The sequence below is a fragment of the Homo sapiens genome, chromosome 1 (assembly GCF_000001405.40).
Source record: "Homo sapiens chromosome 1, GRCh38.p14 Primary Assembly".
Classification (NCBI taxonomy): Eukaryota; Metazoa; Chordata; class Mammalia; order Primates; family Hominidae; genus Homo; species Homo sapiens.
The window spans coordinates 233,692,007-233,719,498 of NC_000001.11; the positions used below are offsets into that span (position 1 = coordinate 233,692,007).

At 39.2% G+C, this 27,492-nt stretch overlaps 1 long non-coding RNA gene across 4 annotated transcripts, besides 1 other annotated feature; it reads right to left on the reverse strand.

Moving 5' to 3' along the window:
- Positions 1-4,725: 4,725 nt before the first annotated feature.
- LOC107985362 (uncharacterized) lies at positions 4,726-15,510 on the reverse strand. Of its 4 annotated transcripts, XR_007066946.1 has the most exons (4): positions 10,767-15,510; positions 10,402-10,494; positions 10,191-10,259; positions 6,706-7,349 (listed from the first exon to the last, which is right to left on the reverse strand). It is a non-coding gene; the product is annotated as an uncharacterized LOC107985362 (long non-coding RNA). The 4 variants fall into 4 exon arrangements; XR_007066945.1 differs by having other exon boundaries at positions 4,726-10,259; positions 15,175-15,510; XR_007066944.1 differs by having other exon boundaries at positions 4,726-10,259.
- Positions 16,191-17,390: an enhancer, noted in NCBI's record as "MED14-independent group 3 enhancer chr1:233843943-233845142 (GRCh37/hg19 assembly coordinates)". NCBI's record gives its function as "activates an origin of replication core promoter dependent on BRD2, BRD4, P300/CBP and CDK7 cofactors, and independent of MED14, by STARR-seq in HCT116 cells {active_cell/tissue: HCT116}" and the evidence as "EXISTENCE:reporter gene assay evidence [ECO:0000049][PMID:35650434]".

A 27,492-nucleotide genomic window follows, 5' to 3' on the forward strand; every position in this document is an offset into this window, starting at 1 on the left:
CAAGTAGCTGGAATTACAGGCTCCTGCCCCCACGCCTGGCTAATTTTTGTATTTTTAATAGAGAGGGGGTTTCACCATGTTGGCCAGGCTGGTCTCAAACTCCTGACCTCAGGTGGTCCACCCCTCTCAGCCTCCTAAAGTGCTGGGACTATAGGCGTGAGCCACCGCGCCTGGTCGAGAGGGCTATTAAGTGAGAAGAAAGGTAAAGTAAGTTTGTCATTGAACGTTTTGCTAAGAGTACTTTCCACAGAGATGAGTGAATCTGACTTTCTGTTTCTGAAGGGAAAGAGCTGGGAACTTTTACCCTTTTGGGTCTGGAAAGATCTTAGTCCTCCTGAGAGAAGAGAGGTGTTGTCAGATTGGGGGACATAGATGTCAGAGAGACAAAATTGTAGAAAGAAATGCAGTAGCAAAGGATGGTGTGGTTAAAAAATAAGTAGGAATGTTTTTCTGGACCAACCCTGTCAGTATTTAATTGTTCTCATCCTGATATTGCATTTGTTTCTGTGATTTTTTTTCTAGCCATCACCAGGAGATCTCAAAGCAACTCACAAGTATTCGATTTTCAGGTATGAAACAATTGTAACTTAGGAAACAAAGACAAAAAGAAACAAACAATAAAGCAAGAAAATATGTTGTCCAAAATACAATTAGTGACATCAATAAGCAGAACCGAGTTTTCTGATTGACATCTGGTCGTCCTCTATATAGCACTTGACTTGTCACCTGGCTGATAAAAATCATGTGCAGATGAAGAATTATTTGTTGCCTAAATAACAATTAAAATTGAAGCCATATTACATCACAGAATGCAACCTTTATTATATGAGAATAAGAAAAACAACCTCAGGTCTAGGTCTCCTTGTGGATGGTAAGTAAGTACTTCACATACACTTTATTTAAATTAATGCCCACAGGCTGGGCGCGGTGGTTCACTCCTGTAATCCTAGCACTTTGGGAGGCCGAGACAGGCGGATCACCTGAGGTCAGGAGTTTGAGATCAGCCTGGCCAACACGGTGAAACCCTGTCTCTACTAAAAATACAAAAATTAGCTGGGCATAGTGGCACATGCCTGTAATCCCAGCTACTCAGGAGGCTGAGGTAGAAGAATCGCTGGAACCCGGGAGGCAGAGGTTACAGTGAGCCGAGATCTTGCCACTGCACTCCAGCCTGGGTGACAGTGTGAGACTCTGCCTCAAAATTAATTAATTAATGCCCACAACCTTTCCATGAGCTAAGTCATTGTCATTATCTCAGGGGTAAAGGCAAAAATGTTCCAAAAAACATAATATGTATTTAGTTTTATCCATAGAGATAAATGCTTGTGTGATACTGGCTTGTTCCGACGTGTTTAGAGTAAGCAACGTTTTTCTTGAGAGCTGCTTTCCTTCGGCATCCTTGACCATGTGGCCATCTCCAGGCTGAAGAAACAGAATCTGACTTTTTAGATCCTCCATTCAGCTACTTCCAACCAACTGCATGAAAAAGCTGTCTCCTTTTGTTCTCTTCAAGTGAGGCATTATTTTATTTCTCTGAGCAGCTCTCTCACCTCGTTACCTTTCATACTTCTTTACAACAATATACATTGCAATAAAATACAATTAAAACATCATTTGAGTGCTCCTACACTAGGTCTCTCAGCCTCTTTAAATGGATGCTTTCCTTAGGTAAAATTAAAAAATGCATGCCCTTTATTAATTAATTTTTTTTTTTTTGAGACGGAGTCTTGCTTTGTCACCAGGCTGGAGTGCAGTGGCGTGATCTCAGCTCACTGCAACCTCTGCCTCCCGAGTTCAAGCAATTCCCCTGCCTCAGCCTCCCAAGTAGCTGGGATTACAGGCATGTGCCACCAAGCCCAGCTAATTTTTTGTATTTTAGTAGAGACGGGGTTTTACCATGTTGGCCAAGATGGTCTCGATCTCCTGACCTAGTGATCTGCCTGCCTCGGCCTCCCAAAGTGCTGGGATTACAGGCATGAGCCACTGTGCCTGGCTAAAAATGCATGCCATTTAAAGTGCAACTTGAAGTTCAAACTGTATTATCAGGTCTAAAGATGAATAAGAGCAATGGGGCAGAGAGCATGTTTGCTTCCCAGCCACAGAAGTTTCTATGAGATTCCAATATACTGCCGAGGGGAAGAGATGTTTTCTCAGCACCACAACCCACTGCTTCACCCCACTTTAGTGAATTCTGAGGAGTACACTTTTCCACAGGGCATTCAAGGAGTGTTTATTGTCATGGTTTTCTATTTTTTTAAAAAAGAACTTCAGATGTGGCAGGAAGGAAGGCTTAAAGTTCCATCTGTCAGCTCCTGAAACCGCGTCATTTCTATTCTAGGACTAGACTTGGAATGGTTATGGCAGCTGCCAAAGAGCGTTTGATAAGGAGAGCCTATAACCTCAGCTCTTTATTAGCCTGGAAAGCCTGGGGTCTTGGAAGCTGTGAACTCACTTTGTTAGCTAACTGAGGGGACTCCAAACACTGCCTGGTCACCTCAGATATTTCTGCAACCCAGAGATGGGTGCTGCTGGATTGTCCCCCGGATTAATTCTGTTTCTGACTCAAGCCAAAGGGGTCTAACCTGGGGGAGAATCTCATTAATATTATGAAGACCCAGGGAAGCTTTTGGGAATGATGCGCAGACAATATCTGGGTAGGTAACATGCTTGTGATGTGGCTACAATAACCTAAAAGCTTAAATGTGGAGGAGATGTTGCAGGGCAAAGTCTTTTGAAATGTCCGGGGGCTCCCTCCCCGTGACTTCTGTCTACTCCTCCCTAGTGTTGGCTTCTAGTTAAAGAGCTCATTAACCATATATTTGATTTCTCAAACATGAATAAATCCACTTAGCAGCTTGCTCAAAACCTTTGTTGTAACTTTCTTTTCTCAAATTTAGACTGTCTCCTCACCTACTGAGAAGTTGTGACACTTTCATAATGAGAAGGGTGACTTAAATTTAGAATGAGGCACAATCTTAAGATACAGCGGATTCAATTCAGGCTTTGCCACAAGCTCCATGGGTGGTCTCACTATTTAATTTTTATTTTCCTCATTTCCAGATTTGTCTTCCCCACTGTTTTCTTTGTTATGAACTTTCACAGTCAATTGAGAATTCTGCATCCAGGAAAAAAATTTTATACAAGTACAATCATCCCTGGGTGTGCTCAGAGAAATGGGTCTGTGCAGTTCAAAACTGCTCTTTGAACAACAAAGTGCAACTGTACTTTTCCCTCTATTCTTCCCTCTAATTACCACCCTGGATGTTAAATATGAAATAAACATAAGAAGACGTCTTAAAGGTGGAGAGAGGAATGCAGACCAGCTATGGAACTCAGGGTCCAAGGAAGACACATCAAGCAAACAGCACAGAAAAAACTATGGTCCTACAGTGTCCATGATAGCAAAGACTGAGTGGGGAGCCTAGAGTTTGACCCTCACTAGGCTGTAATGAGGTATCCCCAATGTCCCTGTCTGGGTGGTATCAGAGAAGGCCAAATAGAGAGCTGGAAACTACTCACCATGTGGTAATGAGTCTCCACTTTCACCCCAGCCTACCTCCATACACACACAGTGTCAGTGCAACCTGACTTCAACTCCAGAGGCATCTTTTCCTCCTGCTGCGATGAAGTCAGAGAAGGCCTAGCAGAAAGTCAGGACTTTCAACCCTGCCCAGTGGTAATGGGACCAATCCCACCACAATGTCAGTGGAGAGCCATAATTCTCACCCTCCACTAGCAGTAACAACACCTTCCCCTGGGGAAGTGATGTCAGACATAGCCAACTAAAACAGAAGATTTAAATAAGATGCAGTTTCATGACATAATATTTAAAAAAATCATACCAAACGCAAGGAAGATCTCAAACAGAATGAAAAAGACAATTGATAGATGCCACCACCAACAAAACAGATGTTAGAATTGTCTGAGAAGGATGTTAAAGCAGCCACTAATTCAAAGTTTTGATGAGCAGTTATGAACATGCCTGGTCATAACTGAAAATGAAAAATAGAAAGTCTTAACCAAGGAGGAAACTGCCTCAACCTGATAAAGAGCATCTATAATAAGCCTACAACTAACAGTATACCTAATGATGAAAGACTGAAAGCTTTCCTCCTAAGATTAGAAACAAAGCAAGGGTGTCTGCTCTCACTGATTTTATTCATCATAGTACTGAAAACTCTAGCCAGTGCAATAAGGCAAGAAAAGGAAAGTAAATTCATACATATACAAAAGGAAGAAATAAACTGTTCATATTTGAAGATGACATTAATGTCTACATAGAAAATCCTAAAGATCACAAATGACCTAGAATCTTCAAACAAAAGAACAAATTTGAGCCCTTGTCTTACCCCATATACTAAAATTAACTCAAAGCGGATCAATCTAAGTGCAAGAGTTAAAACTATAATACTCTTAGAGGAAAACACAGGGGAAAATCTTCATGACACTGAATTTGGCAATAATTTCTTGGATATGACACCAAAAGCATAAGCAACAAAATAAATACATACGCAAATTAAACTTTATCAAATTTCAAAACTTCTGTGCATCAAAGGACACTATCAAGAGAGTGAAATGACAACCCAGAGAATGGCAGAAAATATTTGCAAATGACATATCTGATAAGAAATTAATTATTCAGAACATATTTAAAAACTCCTACAACTCAATTACAGCAATATTACAAACAATCCAGTAAAAAGGGAAATGCAGTTAAAACCACAATGAGATACCATGTTACTTTTATTATGATGGCTATTATTTAAAAAAACAGAAAACAATAAGTATTGGTGAAGATGTGAGGAAATTGGAACTCTTAATGGGAATATAAGACAATGTAGCTACTGTGGAAAACATTATGGCAGGTCCTCAAAAAATTAAACATAGAATTACTATATGTTGCAACAATTCCACTTCTGGGTATATACCCACAAGAATTGATAGCAGGGACTCCAGGAGACAGTTGCATACCCATGATCACAGCAGCATTATTCACAGTAGCCAAAAGGTGGAAACAACCCAAATGCCCATCAACAGATGAACAAATAAACAAAATGTGGCATATGCCTACAGTGGAATATTATTTAAGTTTAAAAAGGGATGAAATTCTGACACATGCTATGACATAGGCAAACCTTGAAGACATCATGCTAAGTGAAATAAACCAGTTACAAAAGGACAAACACTGCATGATTCCACTTATATGAGTTACCTGGGATGGTTAAATTTATAGAGATAAAAGGTAGGATGGTAATTACCAAGGGCTGGGGTGAGGGCAGAATGGGGAGTTATTGTTTAATGGGCACAGAGTTTCATTTTAGGGTGATGCAAAGGGTCTGGAGATGGATAGAGATGATGGTTGCATAAGGCATTTATGTACTTAATGCAATTGATGTCTAAACTTAATGATTATAATGATGAAATTTATCTCATGTATATTTTATCACAATAAAAAAACTAATGAGCGAGCTCAGCAAGTCATAGGTTACAAGATAAACCTACAAAAATCAATTTTATTTCTATCATAGACAACAAAATTTTTAAACAATACCATTTACAATTGTTCAAAATATAAAATGTCAGTGTATAAGGCTTCTTTTGTTATACATGTATAACAAAACATGTATAAAGCTTCTCTGCTGAAAACTAAAAACCATGATGAAATAAATTAAAGACAATAGCTATAAACTGAGAGATATACCATATTCATTGATTGGAAGATCAACGTAATAGTAAAGATGTCAGGTCTTCCCTACATTGATACACAAATTTAAAACAAATTCTATCAAAATCCTAGCAACATATGTTGTAAATATAGATAAGATTATCCTAAAATATATATGGAAATAAAAAGAAACTAGAATAGCTTTAAAATATTTTGAATATGAATAAAGTGGGAAGAATTCTACCTTATTGTAGGATTTATTATCTAGCTAATCAAGAGGGATAGATGCAGTGATCAATAAAACAGAATAGAGAATCCAGAAATAAACTTATACAAAGATGCCAAATTGACTTTTGACAAACTTATAGGAAGAACTCAGCGGAGGAAAGATTGGCTTTTAAACAAATAGTGCTGGAGCAATTGACATTTATAGAGAAAACAACAAAAACAGATAAATCTTGACCTTAACCTAAATCTTACACATGGACTCAAAATGGATTATAGACTTAAGTGTAAAACATAAATAATGCATTTAGAAAAATAATTTTTAAAAGATACTTGGGATCTAGGGCTAGGCAAAGCATTCTTAAATTCAACCTCAAAAGCATGATTGATCCATAAAATTTAAAAATATTGATAAATTAGATTTTATCAAAGTAAAAAATTTTGCTCTATGAAAGACTGCTAAGAGGTGTCTCTTTTTCATATACAACATTAGAAGGAAATGTGCACACATTTAAATAGAACAGACAAAAGTGGAGTTGAAGATTTTTATACACAGAAAATGGGTGTGGGACTCAAAGAAAAGAGCCCTTTATTTATTATACATCCCAGCTTCCCTAAGAGTTCCATAAAGGATCTTTGCAGAAACTGTAGAGACCTAGAAAGAAAATGTAGAAAACCTCGGTATGGGGAGAGAGTAAAGTAAATAAAGTGGTGATGTATTAGTCTGTTCTCACACTGCTGCAGAGGAATACAGAGACTGAGTAATTTATAAAGGAAAGAGGTTTAATTGACTCACAGCTCTGCAAGGCTGGGGAGGCCTCAGGAAACACAATCATGGTGGAAGGGGAAGCAACCACGTCCTTCTTCACAAGGTGGCAGGACACAGAAGTGCAAGCAGTGGAAATGACAGACGCTTATAAAACCATCAGATCTCTTGAGAACTTACTCTCATGGTCATGAGAACAGCATGCGGGAAACCGCCCCCATGATCCAAACACCTCCCTCCAGGTCTCTCCCTAAATACGTGGGGATTATGGCGATTACAATTCAAGATGAGATTTGGTTGATGACACAAGGCCTAACTATATCAGGTGGAAAGGCAGGATTGTACAGAAACGTTAGAAATGAAGATATATAAAAAGTAGGTGTGATCATAATCAATACAATTAATTCAACTGTTAAAACACATCAATTCTTTAGCATTGGAAAACAACTCTTCATGAATATTTTCACATTCCTGTACAGTCAAAACCTAGTGAGCAAAAATTTCTGGCAACGTGGGTTAAAGCATGATTGAATGGCAAATGTGCCTTAGAAGTTAGACATTGTATATTTCCCTGGCGGAATTTAAAGTCTTGTCTTCTCTGGAGACATCTGCTAGGGACATTCCTCTTCTCTCTCCAGAGAGTATTTGTTTACCTTCCAGAGCGGAAATCTTTTTCTCGCTCTTCCCCACACCCTGGAAGAAAGGAAGCGCAGATGTGTCAGTCACCTGCAGACGCTCAGAGTTTAATAATTTTGGAGTTCGGCCGGGCGCGGTGGCTCACGCCTGTAATCCCAGCACTTTGGGAGGCCGAGGCGGGTGGATCACGAGGTCAGGAGATCAAGACCATCCTGGCTAACACGGTGAAACCCTGTCTCTACTAAAAAAAAATACAAAAAAAATTAACAGGGCGTGGCGGTGCGTGCCTGTAGTCCCAGCTACTCGGGAGGCTGAGGCAGGAGAATGGCGTGAACCCGGGAGGCGGAGCTTGCAGTGAGCCGAGATCACGCCACTGCACTCCAGGCTGGGCGACAGAGCGAGACTCCATCTCAAAAATAATAATAATAACAATAATAATAATAATTTTGGAGTTCCTCTTCTGTGCTGCATCCCCTGAACATGCAAGTACATCTGGTCCTCAACCTGCCATCCCCTTGGGCAACGGGGGCATGAGGAACAATGCTATGAAGGTGCTCTGTGAGCAATAGTCTGTTCTTTGATCCAGACACTTCGTGGCGTTTCCTGTCTGAATAAAGATAGAGATAAAAACTTATCTTGTAAGACGAGTCTTACTTTCTGACAGCAATCCTATTTTTTAACATTTCAAAGGTTGAGAGTGCATGTTAAACTTCTCTACCAGGTTGCAGGTTCTCATTGATTACGCACAAACTGAAATCTACTTACTGCAGACCTTCTTCTACCTTCCTCTCATTTCTCTGGAGCACTGGCACACTAATCTCTGACTTATCCCACACAACAGATCTGCTCCTTTAAAAACTCCTATTATTGATACACAGCTACTTGATTAGGGGATCCTTGCACTCCTTTAGAAATTGCTTAGTGCTCAAAAAAGCCATAATTTATATTCTTTTGTTTATTCCTTCAAGGTATTTGGGGGAAATACAAGCATGTTATTGGAGGGGAAAGAAACCTGCCCTGTAAAGACTGTATATATTACTACGGAAGAGTGAATGCAGGGATTAATAAATGGGTCTTAGACTACATGTTCATCTGTCTAATTTTAAATTTACTGCCACTTCAGGTTCTATTTGCTTTCTTCTTTATTTTCTGCCATTATTGGCACCAGCTCAGTGCCCATTTGTCCTGACTGCAATCAGCTGCTGTTCTAATAGCCTAATCCTATTCCAGTGCCAGCTTTCACCTCACTGTCTGTGCTAGTGCCAGCCCTGTCCCTGCTGTTTCTAATTTTCTCTTCCCCCAGCCTCCTTTCTACCCCACCACCTGCTATGTACCCACATCATAATCATTTCTAGATTCTTTCATTGTTTCAAAGCTGCTCCCTTGAGTCGTGCTGTTCAACTCCAATATTCTCTCTTAACCCCTTCTCCCACAGGGATTGGCTACATCTCACACTATGTCTTTCTTTTTTGTTTTGCCCAGGTGGATTTTAATATTTTTCTATTAGCTGATTTGTCAAGCCACTAAACAGGAGCCCTTTCTCCTTATTTCTTGTGTCCAGCAAAGGTGAGCTGAATATACACCAACACAGGCAGGATACATGGTGAGCAGAAGTGTCTCAATGTTAGGTTCACAATGAATGAAATATTGAAAATGGGGATTGGGAATTAGTATTCGTGTTATCAACAAATATGTATTGAGTTCCTACAATGCAGCATACACAATTTTAGGTGCTTGGGACCCAGTAATGAAGAGAAGAGACAAAATTCTTGTTCTTAGGAAGCTTACATTTAAGGGGATACATACTACAAGCTAGGCTCAGCTTAGATAATGTACGTGAGTTATCTAATTAAATCCTCACGTGAACCCTATAAGGTGGGTGCCACCCCCAAATAACACTGAGAACCTCTTTTGTTGCCTGTTTGAGTCTTCACTTTGTCATCTGTGACTGGCGGCCAATGCCTCCCTCATAAGATAAATGTCAGGGGAAGACATTGATAATTGTTGAGCACCTACCATAGCCTAGCGGTTTTTTCCAGGTGTTTTTTAAGCTTTTCCTCATCAGCCCTATGAAATGAATTGGCTTCCCTCAGTTTTCAGGTGAAAACCCTAATTATCAGACTAGTAGAATAACTTGTTTAAAGTCACTTAGCTACTAAGCAGCAGGGGTGAATTTAAACTCCTTTCCAATTCTGCTGCTAGCTCAGAAATGAGTTCAGGTGGACGTTATTGTCTGTTGAGTATCCTTCATGTAAAATGTAATATAACACTACTGAGAAATATTTACACTGAAGAAGATAAAGTTCTTGCCATTAATAACAATATAGTCTTGTGGGGGTGAAATGTTTCATTTATAATTAAAATGATTTGCTAGACTGCAGAAAGGTGGGATACAGTCCAGGTGAGTTGATTTAGGACACATGGAGATTTGTCTTCCACCTTGGGGCTGATGCATATTGGTTTGGAGCCTTTGGGACACATTTAAAAGTTGATGGCCAAAAGACAATGAGGGGCATGGCTGTAGATTCCAGGTATGAGACCCAGCAAATCTGTGGTTATGGGAAATGAAGCTATGGAGTGATGGAATTGTCCCAGCTGGGGTTGCAGAATAGTGAGTAAGGAATCTAGCCCAGACAGAAGAACCCAAGGACACCAATATTTAAGGCAGTGGTCCTCAAATTTCACTGTGCATAGCAGTTGCCTAGAGCCTGGCACAGTGGCTCATGCCTGTAGTCCCAGCAACTCAAGAGGCTGAGACAGAAGGATTGCTTGAGGCCCAGGAGTTTGAGGCTGCAGTGTGCTGTGATCGTGTCAGTGCACTCCAGCCTGGGTGACAGAGCGAGATTCCATTTCTAAAAAAAAAAAATTAAAATGAAATAAATTTTTTTAAAAAGTTACCTAGGACAGTGTTTCCCAGACTTTTTCACCTCATGGATATTCACAGAAATGATCCTGCGGGTAAGGTACCTGAGAGAAATGAATGAGGCCGTTCATGCAGGAAGACAATCAGCCCAGGGCTTGTGCCTTTCTTTGCCACAAGCCACTAGAAAGCTGAGGGTGTCTATTCTTCTTTAATTCATTTGCGGCAAAATCATTGGGAAGTTCTTACCTAAAAAAATGTCTGCTAAAAATTCAGATTCTCGGGCTATCTCCTCAGCAATTCTGGCTTCGTGAGTCCAGGACACCACATTTTTAATTAGCTCTGAAAGTGATTTTGATCCAGATAGAATGAGGATCTTTCTTTAAGAAACCTGATTTTAATAGCTTTAAAACAAAATTAAATTTTAAGAAAAGCAATGTGTAATAATCAAACATTATAACTGTATATCTACTTGGTGATATAACCTCATACAGAAGAACCACTTCAAGAAAAATTAAAACATATCAATATTATTGTTCTTACCTAGTAAAATATTCTCTATGGAAAAAAGTGTACCCCCAATAAGAAAATATTAAAGTGCTTGTAGATATTACCATATAATGCTGATGGTACTGTTTTCCTGAGACTCTTATATGTGTATTGCGGGATAATCAAATGAGTAATTACAATGGTGTCACTGAGAAATGAGTTTTCTGGCAATGCTGAAAGAAAGGAAAGACGTGAGATTGATCAGGTTAATGGGCATGCTTAGCACCCAGAATGTTGCATCTAAATACATTTCTCACTGAATGGTTCCAGAGCTCTTTGGAGAACTGGCTGTTTCCCAGTATGGGACAGGAAATTATAATCCTGGGACATTTTGTCACAAAAAGGATACCATCAAAGACAACTGGAGTCATGTCAAAGTGACCCAGAATTCAACATGAATACGCTGCCGCAAGCCAAAGGCAGGAAAATTTGATTATTAATTGGAATAACTGCAAGGGATTGAAACAGATTGACTATGTTTAATCCCTGAGCTCATAAAATCATCAATAATTTTTTTAAAAGTCTTTTGAAATCTTTAGATAATACTAGGGGACTACTTTTATTATTTTGAATACTAGTTTAAACAGAAAGTATCAGTAGGTTATCCTGTTTTTCCTATACAATCATACCTCAGGACAACCAAATGCATGATGAAAAAAGTTTCTCTTTTGGAATAATTCCAGAAAAGAAATTTAGTTAATGATTGGAGTAGATTACCATATTCAGTGGCTGCTAGCATCACAAAAGGAGAGAAAACCAGATGGGTACCTTCTGATGGAACTTCACAAAATCACCTATGACGGAATCTTTTTATAATTTCACCTAAATCTGATCAAACCTCTAGATATAACCAATAATTTCTAGAAAATACAAGGAACAGAGACGCATGTTAAATAATGCCAAAAGGACACCTTCACCAAATTGCAGACCCCATGAACTTTATAAGACAAATGACCCAGAGTTTTCAACTGAATCAAGATAAAATGCAAGAAGAGGCAGGGAATATAGTAGGACAGCCTATAAACTAAAATACTTAAGGGACATGTCAATGAATCTTTATCTCTGTATCTTATTTAGATTTCAATTCAACAAAATTAATTTTTAAAAATCTACAAGAGAAGAAATTGTGAAAACAGGATTGTTATTAGACTGACATTAAGGAATTATAACAACTACATTTGATGAGATTATAATATTGTGATTATCTTTTCTTTGAAAGAAATTCTCACTATATATAGTGATAGAGATCTATATATTCCCACATATATATGATGAAATATTTGCAGGTTAAATAATGTAATGTCTGGGATTTGATCCAAGTCAGGGAGCAGGGAGAAAATGGATGAAGTATAGAAAAAGTAATATGAGTGTGTATTGCACTGATAAGATGCAGTCATGTGTACACCTAGTTCATTATCCTGTTCTCTTCACTTTTATGTATGCTTGAAAATCTACCCCTCAAAAGTTAAGATATAAAAAATAAAGAAAGAAACATGATTCTTTCTTGATTCAGGGTCAGCGGGAAAAAGAGGAATGTTAATTCTCTGTAAAGCAGTGTCCAAAACAGGAAAAAGAACTAGAAAAGCATGATATTGTGAAAGCCAAGCAAACAGTGTTCCAGAAAAGGAGATGGCGAGTCATGAGTGCTGTCAAGAAGTCAGGGAATATGCGAACTTAGAAATGTGCTTTCAGTTACCAGCAAGAGGCAGTGACTACAGCTTTCAGAAGCTCAAAGAAGCAGTGCTCACTACACAGGAAGAAGAGAGCTGATGGCAGGGTGGTGGGGAGCGGGCTTCCTATGGTTAAATCAAGGGCTGTGCCTTGACTGTTTTTAAAGATGGAAGGCACTTGAACAAGTTAAACGTATGAGAAGAAACCAGTAGAGGGGAAGTGATTATAATACATGAGACAGATGGGGCAATCTGAGAGAGAGAAGTCTCTGAGAGGATGAGGAATGGGGAGAGTCGGGAGGGGTGCTTAGTCCAAAAAATAGCTGTCCTCATTTTAGAAGGGCCATTCAATGCTGCACTTCCCCAAATGAGTCATCATCAGAATCACTAGGGAGCTTAGAGAAATCCAATTTCTCCTCTTCCTCCCACCTTGAAGATTCTAACTTTATATATTTGGAGATTTCAATATAATAAAAATACAGTAACTATATTATTTAAAGTCCTCTGAAGAAGTCTGCTAATTAGCCAGGCTTTCCGACTATTGACTTTAATGAGTATTAAATTCATGAAAAAAGTACTTTTTCTTCATCTTTCTCAGAAAAGAGACATTCAGACTCTTGGAGTGAAAACAGTATGTTCTGGGTCTGAGTACCTGGGGGAGGAGAACAGGCTCAGTTAATCTTTGTTCAAACAACACTTAAATACCAAGATTGATCTGTTTCCAAAACATAGCAACAGCTTTTTTTATTGTGGGGCACAATGATCCTAAGCATGCTTGTATTTTGTCATTTATGGTTGTGGGAGTATGGGAGATTAGAAAAATCTATTTAAGAAAGTACAGCATGCAGATGAGGTTATCCTTAATTTCACTACAGAAACCCAAATAGAGCCTGGGGATAGGATAAAGACAACAGGAAAATCAAATAACCAAGGGCTTTAGCATTTGGAGCAAAGAACCAGGGGTGCAACTGTAGAAATCTGGTTCTAATTCCAGTTCTGCCAGTACCTACACATGTCACTAGAGCCTGACATCAGTTTTCTGATCTACACTATTGTGCGTACTAGTTTCAATCCCTAACTGCCTTCTGGGAAGGTCACAGCATGAACAGGACATAACAGATGCAATGGTATTTGATATAAACATGCTGTGTAGACACAATTATTGTGCTGGTCAATGGCCTCAGTGAAAAATTTATCACTCTAAACAATTGGAGAAATTAAGCTGTAAATTTTGAAAGAACTTGGCTTCGTAGATACATGCCATTTCTATCTACTTCCTGTCAGAATGAAAATGATGTAGAAGCATTTTCTGGCACTTTAACAGTTTACTGATTATGGTGACATAGTATGCATATGACATAAAAATATGTGTTAAAAATAATGTTGACCTTATTCTATTTATTCAGCTATTAATTTCAGGGATTTCTGGTTTCCTGATGGATATGGAGCAAAAGTCTTCATAAACCTTGAGTTTTCACTGAATCTTAAGTCTCCTTTTAACCCTCCTTCTCTTAATTGTCACTTAACATATATAAAATATGTCTGAAATTGACATCTTGGCAACCTGAAATCTCTCCTATCTCAGTAAATGGTATCATCACCCGTTTTTAATTAAACTAAGACCTCAAGATTTATCCTTTTGCCCCCCTGAAACCTCATATCTTTTTCTCTGTCATTCACCAACTATAAACATATCAGATTCTTTTCAGTTGCTTAGATAAGCACTAAGCTTGTTTAACACTTCTGGGCTTTTGAACTAATATATTGATGCTAAGGCATGTAATTTAACATATTTTAATTCATTGTTATCAAAATGTGTTTTACAATCAATTTTGTAATTTACAATTATAATTACAGTTTTTTTTTTTCTTTTAGAGGTACAATAGTGACGTCTTAAATCCAATAAAAAACAAAAACAAAATGGTAGTGCCCTCTTCCCTTCTCCAGATCTCCATGTGGCTGGCTCAGTCCAACAGTCCTTTCTGTTGAGCTCAGCTCACTCACCCTCAGTTCAGCTTCCTGCTCTGATGCCACCTTACCTGAAGTTCTCCTCCCCTCATCTCATCCCACTACTTGTTTCCTTTATAGCACTTTTGCCACTTAAAAACATCCATTTGCTTGCTTGTTTATTTTCTGTTTTCTCTACAGCCTAAAGCTCCTCAAAACAGGAGCTTTGTTTTGTTCTCAGCTACACCCCCAGATATGGTGTGTGATCAATGAGTATTTGTTGAAGGAATTGTATGGCAAAGGCATCTCTTCCATAGACATTTATGTGGCCCATCCCACTATCTCAGTAGTGTCTGAGATGGGCAGCTCCCACCTTATCCTCAATGTTCCCAACCCCAGCCCCGCCACCACCACAAGAAATCGCTGTTTTAATCTCCACCATCTAAGAAGTGGCAGGACTTCCAGTGTAACAGACAAAGGCCATGTATAGAATTTCTACAGCGAAAGGCATTTGGCAAAAAACCTACTATTTGAAATGTCTCTAGTCTTAAATCCATCGTTGGGATGAAGGGCAAGTATATTAGTCCATTTTCACACTGCTATAAAGGAATACCAGAGACTGAGTAATTTATAAAGGAAACAGGTTTCATTGACTCACAGTTCCACATGGCTGAGGAGGCCTCAGGAAACTTACAATCACAGCGGAAAGGGAAGCAGGCACCTTCTTCACATAGCAGCAGGAGAGAGAAGAGAAAGCAAAGGAGAAAGAGCCTTTCGTGAAACCATCAGATCAAATGAGAACTCACTCACGATCATGAGAACAGCATGGGGGAAACCGCCCCCATAATCCAATCACCTCTCAGTAGGTCCCTCCCTACTGGACCTAGCAGCTGATGGAAGCAGCTTGGAGTTGCATAGTTCCAGGAGGAGGCACTGGTTCCTGTGTATTCTTCACTTTGTCCTTATCTCCACCCTCCATGTAGTCCAAACTGTCTCTCCAACTGATTGTTCTGCAGTGGTCACATATGGCTGTGCAAGGGGCCAGCACTGCTGCAGCTTCCAGTGAGATATTTCAGTTATGTGGAGCATAAGCAAGGGAGATAAAGTAAAATCCCTATGCTCCTGACAGCATTGCACGGGGCTTCCAGAATGTCACGAAGCCAGCTGCTGGCACTGTTCTCAGGAGAAAAAGGACTTTTCTCTGGAATGGCTCTCTTGGTGTAAGGCCTGGTGGCACATTAATAAATCATACACTTACGGTTTAGATTAAGTCATATTTGAATGAGTCATTTCTCTACACAAATCTCCACTCCCTGTGTCAGCAAGGCTGATGGGCAGAGGAGGCTGAATGTTGGCAGGTGGTGTTATGTGATCAAGTGTTTTTACTTTAATGCCTAAGGAAGACTCTGCTAGCCAGGTGCACAATAGTCTGCACTGTTGGCCTTGGCTAATCTAATCTTAGACACCCTGTGTAATTGGGAAAGAAGGAGAAACTCTGCAATGAGTCATCCAGCAACTTGATCCCCTGGTTTGTTTTTCATTTTGTTTTAAGATGGGCTCTAAGGTCAGGAGAATTAAGAAGTTGGATGTCTGGAAGGGGAGACGTTTTGCCCCGGAAAGAGCTGCAGAGATGTTTGCTGGGCCTGACAGCCAGCTGTGGTCAGCCAGAGAGACACATGACAAGTAGAACTCAGGCATCCCTGCCTTGGGAGACCAGGGCCAGGGCTTCTGTGACATGCACTCGCTTGGAGTCCCATTGATCCCACTGCCCCTCTGGTAGTAGTCCTGTCTTCAGCCCAGATGAGGACTCCCAGAGTTATCCTTGGAAGTTTCCTTCAGTTAGCAATTACTCTGCCTGCTGTCCCGAGACTAGACAATGCCTCCTAACAGCTCACCCCTCTGAGTCCAGCCCCTCCTCACTTCCTGCTCTTTATTAAGAACATTTGTTTGTTCCAAAGCTCTATAAAAGGAGGCTTATAATCTTAAGAGTACCCCTAAATCACTAGCTTTTAATGAAGATAAAATTATCTGTACAGAAAGCAGTGAAACATCACCATTCATTCTGCAATTCCAGATTTCTCCATTGTGTTGTCATTAAATCCATATTACTATGCTAATAAATTTAAACATCTTAGAAGGGGCATAGAAGGAAAGGGAAATGTGTCATAAAATTATTAATAACTTCTTTGTCACCTTGGCTACACAATTTATGGTGGCAATCTCCTGACTACAAAAACAGTGGCTGGCCGGGCATGTTGGCTCATGCCTGTAATCCCAGCATTTTGGGAGGCTGAGTCAGGAGGATCAGTTGAGCCCAGCAGTTTCAGATCAGCCTGGACAACATGGGGAGACTCTGTCTCTACAAGAAATAAACAATATTAATCAGGCATGGTGGCATACGCCTGTAGTCTCAGCTATTTGGGAGGCTGTGGAAGGAGGATCACTTAAGCCTGGGAGGTAGAAGCTTCCACTAACTGAGTTCATGCCACTGCATTCCAGCCTGGGCAACAAAGGAAGATCCTGTATTTAAAAAAGAGAGAGAGAGAGAAAAGAACAGTTTTTGCGAAAACCTACCTTAGATACCTACATAATGATAACGTCAGGGATGATGACTGAGTTTGCTATGTTTCTATAAAGGAACTAGTTATAGTTGTTATTTGTCACATTCTACACAACATGCGGTACACAGTCATGGAACTCATGCCTGCCCCTTCTCTTTCTCCTTCCCTCCATTCCTCTCCTTTTCCTGTCCTCTCTTCCTTGCTTCTTTTTTCTATCTTGCTTTTTATTACAAAATATGACTTTACTAAGTGCTTGTAAGTTCCTCTAAGTAGGGAAGATACCTTTTTTCCACTTCTTAATTGTGGCTACCCCCTGCCATTGACAAAGAGAAAACTTGGCACAGGCTGTTCACAGTGGCTTACATCTGTAATCCCAGTTCTTTGGGAGGCTGAGGTGGGAGGATTGCTTGAGGCCAGGAGTTCAAGGACGCAGTGAGCCATGATCGAGCCACTGCACACTAGTGTGGGTGACAGAATAAGACCCTATCTCAAAAAAAAGATAAAGAAGAAAATATGACAATAAGGCATATTTGCATTTACCTATATATTAAAAACTAAACCTATAGAAGAGTATCCAGTGGGAAGAAGCCAATTTTCCTCCATGTTTCCTGACTCTCCCAATATCACTTACCAGAGATAACCATTATTAACTTTAAAATATATATATATCCTAACATATTATACATATATGTGTGTATATATACCTATTACATATACATACATATGTGTATATGTATATATAAGAATATATGTATACATATACATACTTTTAATATGTATATGTTAAATATGTATGTATGTATATGTACATATATGTATAATGTAAGGATAGAGATACATATTTGTGTGTTTATATGTATATGTAAGGGTACATTTATGTATGTGTGTACATATAAGGGTAGATATATATTTTAAAGTTAATGATTATATAGCACTGATGTTTTTATCTAAAGCTATATTATGGTTAGATATATATGTGTATGTATATGTAAGGGTAGATACATATTTTAAATTTAATAATGATTCTATATAGCATTGATGTTTTTATCTAAATCTATATTTTGGACTTCTTTCCATTCTTCATAATTGCTGCATAGTGTCATTGTATGGATATACCATAATTAGGCTGCTACTCCTTTTTTTTAAAAAAATATTTCCTGTTAACAAGTCACTTGTGTTCATCATTGAAAACCTGGTAAACATAGGCAAGAATTATAGAGTAAAATGTATCCATGATGGTGTATTACACTTTGGGACTACTTGATAAGGCTGCCCAATGGAAAGCTGTCTCTAAGAAGACCCATTGTCCAGCCCTCGAGAGAGAGAGTTGTTGATGAGAGCTTATCTCAGGGGCTCAGATGGGCCTCTAAAATACCATTCCACCTCTGAAATCAGTACAAACTGTATGAGTGACAAATGTCAAAAGAAGTTGTTAAAAGCCATATCAGGGGATTGGGTATTTCTTTGGTTTAATCAGTAATAAATTCCCTCCCAAGTACTTGAGGTGGTGGCTTGGGTTTTTCAAAGAAATACCGTGTGGTATAACAAAAAATATATCTGGTCTTTGTGGCTGGTTATCAACTTGAGCTTCAAAAACCCTAGAGCTTTCCTGACTGACAGGAGTGCTCTTACTATGCTATGGAAGAAACTCCTGATGGGCCCCCTACATTGCTTCAGGATGGGGGCTGGTCCCCAGAAAGATCAGCCACGTTATTAGAAGATTGACACTTTGGACCAGCTTGATTGATTTAATCATTCCTGCCTCAGTAATGAAACCCCAGTAAAAACTCTGGACACTGGGGCCATTTACCTACATTCCATCTCCAGCACAGACCCCAAAATCCTGTGTATGTAAACTCTCTTCTTTCTGGGGTATTTAATATGGGTGCTTTATTACAGTTCTGCAATAACACAATCTCTGTGAGGCTAACTACACAAAATTATGCTTCCTGTTAGTGTTAAAAAGTATAATGGGAACTAGTAGACCTAGATTCTAGTCTTTTGCTATTAACAAGGCATGTAATCTATATAATTTACTTAATTTGCCTATGCCTTAGTTTTGTCATTCATAAGAAAGGGGGGGGGGTTGTACAGTGAAAACTGAGGAACAAAATGAAAGAGTGTGAAAAGTGCTTTGAAATATTAAAAAGTCTCCATCATCTTCAGTACTCAGATTAACCTAGTGTTGGCTCATTGTGATGGATCTCAGGACATGACAACTCTCTATTATTTGTATTTGTATTAGTCTTTTTCTGAATGTACATCTAGCTAAGGTTAGTGAGTGCTTAGTTTTGGGTAGGTAATTTGCTGTGGAATTTCTTTTGTAATTTTGTCTTACATTTCACAACAGATCTAAAAAATAGACACCCTTATGTTCTCATTTTATAGAGAGAAAAAATGAAGTTTAGCACAGAGAAAAGTCAATTTCTCAATGATATGTAACCAGGGAGTGATGGAAACCAAGGTTGTCTGCCTCCAGAGCCCTTGTCCTTGGACACAGTCCTCTACACCTTCCAGCTGATGTTCCAACACACCAGATCTCTGCTCTTGTAAATGCTCAAGGAAGACAGAGAAAAACAAGCTGGTTGCCAATCATGCTATCCTGATGTTCTTCATTTTCATATTTGTCCCAGCAATAATCTATTATTCACAATATGTTGTCATTTTGCTTTGTTGAAGCACTTGGAAGCTTATTTTTAAGGAGCTTTTCCTTAAGAAGCATTATTAACCGTTTTGGTTACCAAATACCTTTTTTCTCAAGGCATCAAAATTATACTTGATTGCACTCATTTTAATTCATTGCACAGATTACATAATAGTTCATTATCTCCTATTATATCTAAATTCCTCTGCAGAGGCTACGCTCTGTTATTTTCATGGAATGGACTGTATTAAACAGAAAGTCTATCATTTACTTAGTAATTCCTATGCTACCAGCAAAATAAAATCTATAAATCCTATACCTATGTGATCTTAGAAATTACCCTTGATTTGTGAAGGAAATTATATAGGATGAAATTTTCCATCATAAACATTTTTTGGCTTGTATATGTCAATGCACTTTCAAACGTAATAGGCCAATTTTGAGAGAGCATTAGTTTCCAGATGCTGGCTGAGCATACAGTATGCTGGAGAGAGGTGCTGTGGTACACTCAGTAGATCCACATTCATAGTATTTGCATTGTAACAGTGTCATTTGAAATAATATAATTCTTTTCTATTCTTCTGGGATTATAAATCTTCCCACCACAATTATCAGAAGCAGAAAAGAGAAGTAAAAAGTCATTAAGTTTAAGAAGATGAGGGATTTGCTAGGGCCCTGTATTAGTTAAGGTAATGAAAGCTTCTGTGCCAATAAATCTAAAAATCCAGAGGTTTATACAGTAGAAGTTTAAGATGTAGCAGTCCAATGTGTGTTGAGTGGGTGGCTTTTCACATAGTGATTCAAGATCTAGGCTCATTCAATTTTGTGACTCCACTTTCATGTAAGGCTGTAGAGTGTTTCATTTCCAACAGAACACAATAGTATTTTAAAGAATATTAAAATTTGCCTTAATGTCAATAGAACTTGAATAATCAGTGGATGGCTTAGGGAGAAAAGAAGGAAAACAAGGGATGTTATTTATGTAATATGAATATTCAATGTCATCAGGCTCTGAAAGCTTGTTATGTTCACCTCCACAGCAGGGATATATAAAGGTAGAGTGAATCTTCTTTCTGACTGTGATCGTTAATTTTATGTGTCAACTTGATGGAATTAAAGGATGCCCAGATAGCTAGTGAAACATTATTTCTGGGTGTGTCTGCAAGGGTATTTCTGGAAGGCGTTTCAAAATAAGCATTTGAATCAATAGACTGAATAAAGAAGATCCTCCTCACTGCCCAGAGTCAGTGAGCACAATCCACTGAGTGCCCAGATAAACAAAAAGGTGGAGAAAGGGTAAATTCTCTCTTTTCTTATCTGGGCTATCCATCTTCTCCTGCACTCAAACCGAATGACTTCCTGGCTTTCCTTGTTCTCCAGCTTACAGACAGCATGTTGTGGGACTTTTCAGTCTCCACAATCATGTGAGCCAATTCTTATAATCTCCTCTTATGTATCTAGACATATCCTATTGGTTTCTGTTTCTCTGACTAATAAGCAGACATTAGTTGGATGGTGATATGGTTTGGCTGTGTCCCCACCCAAATCTCATTATGAATTGTAGCTCCCATAATTCCCACATGTTGCGGGAGGGACCCGGTGGGAGACAACTGAATCATGGGGGCAGTTCCCTCCATACTGTTCTCGTGGTAGTGAATAAGTCTCACGAGATCTGATGTTTTTATAAGGGGCTTCCCCTTTCACTTGGCTCTCATTCTGTCTTCCCTGCTGCCATGCCTCTTTTTCTTTATCAATTACCCAGTCTTGGGTATGTCTTTTATCAGCAACATGAAAACGGACTAATACAGATGGATACTGCCAACTTTGAGACTCTCCTTTTTCTCCGCATCCTTGCTACCCAACTCCTTCTGACCCAGTCTTTTTTTTTTTTTTTTGGTGTTTGTTAACACAGGCCTGCCATGTTTAGTAGGCTGCATGCAGCATTGATAAAGGATAGAGGTCATCGGCATCACTCTAAAGCAAGCACTAGTTCCATGCCCATCTCTTCCTCCTTGGCAAGGACCCCCCCGACACACTGTGCTCACATTAAGTAGTTAGGGGGATATGGGTCATGTTCTAGAATTAAGTAGATCCATCACAGCTATGGACTGAATGCTTGTGTCCTTCAAAATTAATATGTTGAAATTATAACCCTCTAGGTGATGGCATTAGGAGGTGGAACCTCTTGTAGTTGATTCAGTCCCTGGGATTAGTGTCCTAATGAAAGGGACCCTGGAGACTCCCTCATCCCTTCCACCATGTGATGACACAGTGAGAAGATAGTCATCTATGAACCAGGAAAAGGCCATCACCAGACACTGAATCTGCTGGTACCTAGATCTTGGACTTCCCCACCTCCAGAACTGTGAGATATAAATTTCCCTTATTTGTGAGCCACCCAGTCTATGGTGCTTTGTTATAGCACCCTGCCCAGATTAAGAGAATCACTAAAACAATTCTAAAGAATGCAGAGAAGATATAGAAATCAGCCAATAAACCTTTAATGGCATTTATATTGTATATACCATATAATAAAATGCTGTAAATATTGTAGATTCACAAGATTTATTAATGTGTATCATGAGTCTGTTTAGCACTGGGTCATTAAGTTTTCTATTTCCAGGACCACATTCCCACTTCTCAGTGATTATGTCAGGATGTGCATTTCACTTTCAATAGGTTCATCAGCCATAGATCTCAGAGCTCTGTCTCCTTAACAGGAGCTTATGTATCCCTGCTGTGATACAGAGGGTTTATTTCTAAGTACTTTAGGCACCTCACTGTTGCCCACTCTCACCCCTACTCTCAAGAGACTACAGGTGACTTTCAGTAATTATTTGTTGTCATCATTAATGATGATTTATTGCAACATTTAATAAGGTATTCTATGCCCAAGAAAAAAAATACTCTATAAATGCTACTAATGGGAAATTAAGCAGTTCTGTGGAAAATGGCTGAATTAAGAGTCATTTTCCATGAAGTTAGTGCCATGGCATTGGACGATGTTTTGGGATGACCCTGGGAGAGTGAACAGCTTCCTGAGTTGAATATTTTGGGAGAAATCAAAAGACCCAGCTGCCTAATCACTTCAAGCTCTGATTAAGCAACTGTCAGTGCCTGAAATCTACCCTATTGAGCTCAGCTCTAACTGACCTAAACTATTAAAGTGTGAGTGTTCTGCATAGTTAATAATAATTGGCAGATCTAACTAACCCCTTAGAGTCCAGCAGAAAAAAGGAACTGAGATCACAGGCACGACCATTTTGAAGACTAAAGGTCTGGTGAGGAAGAAAGCACAGGGCTTTCGGGAACTGATCCAGTTCATTTGGCTAATTGAGTTGGCATGTGTTTCTGGTAAATGCGGGTATCCTCTAGCAATGAGAGGAAGGTAGGGTTTAAATATCCCTTCCCTGATAATGTTGTTTTCAGACAGTAGATTACAATGCAAGCAAATATTTGATCAAATTATGCCAAGTGTACAAACACTTTCAGCAAGCAGTTGCAGAAACCTCAGACAACCTTTCTTGGAAGCTCAGCAAAGCTCCACTCTGTTTTCAGGCACTCCAACAGGCACCTGGCATAAATTGTTTGCTCCAAAGTCGAGGCAATAATACTCTGAGGGCAAGGTCAGCCAGCCATAGAATCAGATCAGGTGACAGAGTCCTCCAAGAAGTGGAGGGCTCTGACCAATGGGAGCACCAGGAACTTACACTTCAAGCCTGCCTTGAACATATAAGGCTGCTGGGTCTGTCCCTTGTTTAGACCTTGGTCTTCATATATAAGCAGGGGCTGGAGAATCTTTTTGGTCCACCAAATATTTTCAGCACCACCTATTTATCAATATAAAAATTATTTCTAAAATCCCTTCAAATTATCAAATCCCTGGATATGATAGCCATATTGGGAGGTCCTAAGTAAGCACCTCAAGTCATGATCAGTTGTGACCAGACCATGAGCTTTACTGAGGCAGGTGCTTTAACCTGTTTTGTCTCCTAGAATAGTGCCTCAACAACTTTAAGCAGTTTGTACATATTTGACAGTTGAATGAATGAACAAGTACATGTCAATGGATGGTTAAGAAACTTTGCATGCTAACTAAGCACCTTTCATGTTCAGATTAAAACTAATTAGCACACACATCACATGTTTATTCTAAAGAACTTTAAAAGTAAGTTACCATACTGACAATGTAACAGGAGCACTACTGGGGAATGGCCACAACATAATTAGGTAGGGAAATGATACTGGAGGTGAGAGAGAAAGCTCTGTGAATTTGCACAAGTATTATAATTTTATTTATGTATTGAATGTCTGATATCGTTCACCAACGCTATATGGATACATTTTAATAGTTTAACAACTAAATGGATACCCTTTAATAATACTTCATTTAATAACTGTACACAGTTCCTTTAAGTACTCTTCAGATTCTAAGAATACCTCTGCCCACCCCAATTAATCACTTCAGCTCTCCATTATCCACGTGTGCTCACATTCAGCAGATGGCCGATAACTATCACTTTCACCATTGTTAGTTGCTAGAAAGTTTGATTCTGCACCTATTTTTAATACAAATGCACTTTATTCCTTACATCCTGTGCTTGTACAAAAAAAAAACTCTTCAAAATCACCTGGGGAGAATAAAGGTGGGGTATGCTTATCACACGTATTTGCTTTTCTCCACCTTCTGCTGCTGGCAATTACTCTGGGTGTCTATCAAAGAACGTTTCTCTACCAAGGGCTCCATCTTTCCACTTGCAGCTGAAAAGCTAGTCTCACTACTCCAATGTTCCAGAGCCACTTATTTTATTATATTTTAATAGGACACACACAAACTGAGCAGCAACAAAGTCACACTGAAAATGAACCAAAGCTTAACCAAAATGTAGCCCAAGAGAAGGCCCCCAAAGGAATAGCAACATCCACTACAAGTAAAATAATGGGTTCCTCTCTGCAAGGACTTAGCAATAACCCCTAGGCTCTGGGTCTATGTGAGTCCCAGACTGTCTGGATCTTCTGTCCCAAACCCCATATCCCCCCATCTCATCAGCCAGAAGCCCCCCTCACTAGTAAATTGTTAGAAATGTGCTGACAATAATGAATATTAATAGGTGATCATTGCTTTCACTCATTTATAGGACAAATATTTTTTATCAACTACAGTCATGAATGACATAATGATTTTTGGCTAATGACAGATAGCATATATAATGGTGGTCTCATAAGATTATAATACCATATTTTTGCTGTACCCTTTTTTTTTTTTTTTTTGGAGACAGAGTTTATTGCCTGGGTTGAAGTACAGTGGCATGATCATAGCTCACTACAGCCTTGATCTCCTGGGTTCAAGCCTCCTGAGCAGCTGGGACTACAGGTGCACACTGTTTCACCAAGCTAACTAAAAAACAAAGTTTTTGTAAAGACAAGGTCTTGCTATGTTGCCTTGTTGGCAAGGATGGAGAGAAATCAGAAAGCTTGTGCACTTTTGGGGAATCGGAACCCTTGTGCTCTTGGGGAATGTAAAACAGTGGAAAACAGTATGGAGGTTCCTCAAAAAACTAAACATAGAACTACCTCATGGTCCAGCAATCTCAGGTCTGGATATGTTACCCCAGAGAACTAAAAGCAGCATCTCAAAGAGATACTTGTACATCCATCCTCATAGCAGCATTATTCAGAATAGCCAGTAGGCAGAAAAACACCTAGATATCTTTGCCTAATACAAGGTCACAAAGATTTTCTCCTAAGTTTTTTCTGTAAGTTTTACTGTCTTAGCTCTTACATTTTGGTCTGTGATCAATTTCAAGTTGATTTTTGCATATTCAGGTAAGTGAGAAGGTTCTATTTTGCATACAAGTTTCTGGTTAGGTCTCAATTTTCTTGTCTACTAAAGAAGAATAACATTAACTACCTTACAAAATTATTGTGAGGATCAAAATAATTGTAGCTCATAGTTACTGAGTTTGAGTTCTTAGAATATTTCACATGTAGTGACTCATTTCATTCTCACAATAACCCTATCAGTTATTATCTTCATTTTAAAGTTTTAAAAATTAAGACACTGAAAAGCTAAGTAAGTTTTCCAGGGTTGTACAAATGACAAGATTTAGGGGTGAAAATTAATTCCAGACAAATAGGCTTCAGAAACTATATTCTTAACCAAAATACTGTATCAAGAAACCACCAGTATGCTGCTAAAAACACTTCTAAGGGCTTGATAGTTGCATTCATTATCTATCGTTGTGTCACAAATTATCTGAAAACTTAGTGGCTTAAAACAACAAAAACATTTATTATCTCACAGTTTTTGTGGGTTGGATATTTGAGTGCAGCTTAGCTGGGTCCTCTGCTCCAGGTTTCTCACAAGGCTGTTGGCTGAAGCTGTGGTCTCATCTGAAAGCTTGCCTGGGGAAAGATGTGCTTCTAACTCACACATTATATTGTGAGTAGTTCTACTGAGAGACCTGCATATCAAGGAATTGATGTCACCAGCCAAATAGCCAGCAGGTGGGCTTCAGTTCCTCGCCAGCTGTTGGCTGGTGACATCAATTCCTTGATATGCAGGTCTCTCAATGGAACTACTCACAACATAGCAGCTTGGTTTCCATAGAGTGAGGATCAGAGGGATATCTGAGGCAAGTGGGGAGGTGGCAGTTTACACATTAGGTTACACAGTCTTTTTGTAACCTAATGTGAGAAAGGACATCCGCTATGCCTTTTGAATAGTCAGCACTTTTGTCATATTCTGTTTATTACAAGTGAGTCCCTAGGCTCCTGCCCACACTCAAGGAGAGGGTCTTGCTTAAAGGCATAAATGTCCAGAGCCAGGGATAACTGGGAGTCCTTTTAGAGGCTCTCTATCAAGCTATTCTCCTGACTCGGCCTCCTGAGTAGCTGTGATTACAGGCATGTGCCACCACGCCAGGCTAATTTTGTATTTTTGGTAGAGGGGTTTCCCCGTGTTGGTCAGGCTGGTCTCGAACTCCCAACCTCAGGTGATCCACCTGCCTCGGCCTCCGAAAGTGTTGGGATTACAGGTGTGAGCCACTGCGCCCAGCCTCTTCCCCTATTATTATCTCAAAAATAGGGATTAGGTTTTTTAGAATGATTCTGTTTTCTTTAAATATACTTTTGAGGACTAAGAACTTGATTATCAGTTTTTAGAGACAATTCTTTCCAATTTCCAAGGAACTAAATTTACAGATTTCTACCTCTAGTACTTTTTAAAAAAATATGAAGTATGGAGCACTGAAGGATTTACATGCGTAAAGATTTGAGGAAAGTTCTGTGTAGATCTCAGCAGAGTATATTTCTCACATCCCATCACTGAGACTCTGTCACCTTTTGATGTCAAGGCTTTAAAATGACATTTCCAGGTTTTTAGAGGTTAAATAAAATAAAATAAAGCCAAAATAAAACTCTTTTACCAATTAAAGGAATAAAGAAAGAACACTCAACTTCTTGGTAGGATGAAGAAGAAAGCATTTTAATTTGCCTTAATCCTTGAGCCCTCTGAAGAGTCAAGCTTCTTGATGATAATTGATGATAATTCAGCTCCTAAACAACGTTAACAATCCCTCCCTCTTATTTGTGATCCTCTTCCAAAGAGAATCTCAGCTAACTTTAGAGGTATGGCAAGAGAAATCACCTGATCAACAGTATTAACAGCTTAAACTTTGGAGTTCTTTCTGTGGATCTCTCAATACTAGCTGGGATGCCTGCTGTGCTTCAGTGTATATATTTATTTCAAGTAAATAAGACTATTAAATGGAGATTTTGTGTCCCTAAGAACCACTTTCAAGCAGCTCCAGAGATACCAATCACCATAGAATGTGGGTGGTCCCTTCCATTAGGGGATAGGAGTCACTACTCCAGGACTGCTTGGCTGCTGGCTGTGCCTTTATTGGTGACTGTTTTTAGAGGCTCAATATCTTGCCAAAGAAAATTTGAACCACCTGAGTATCTACCT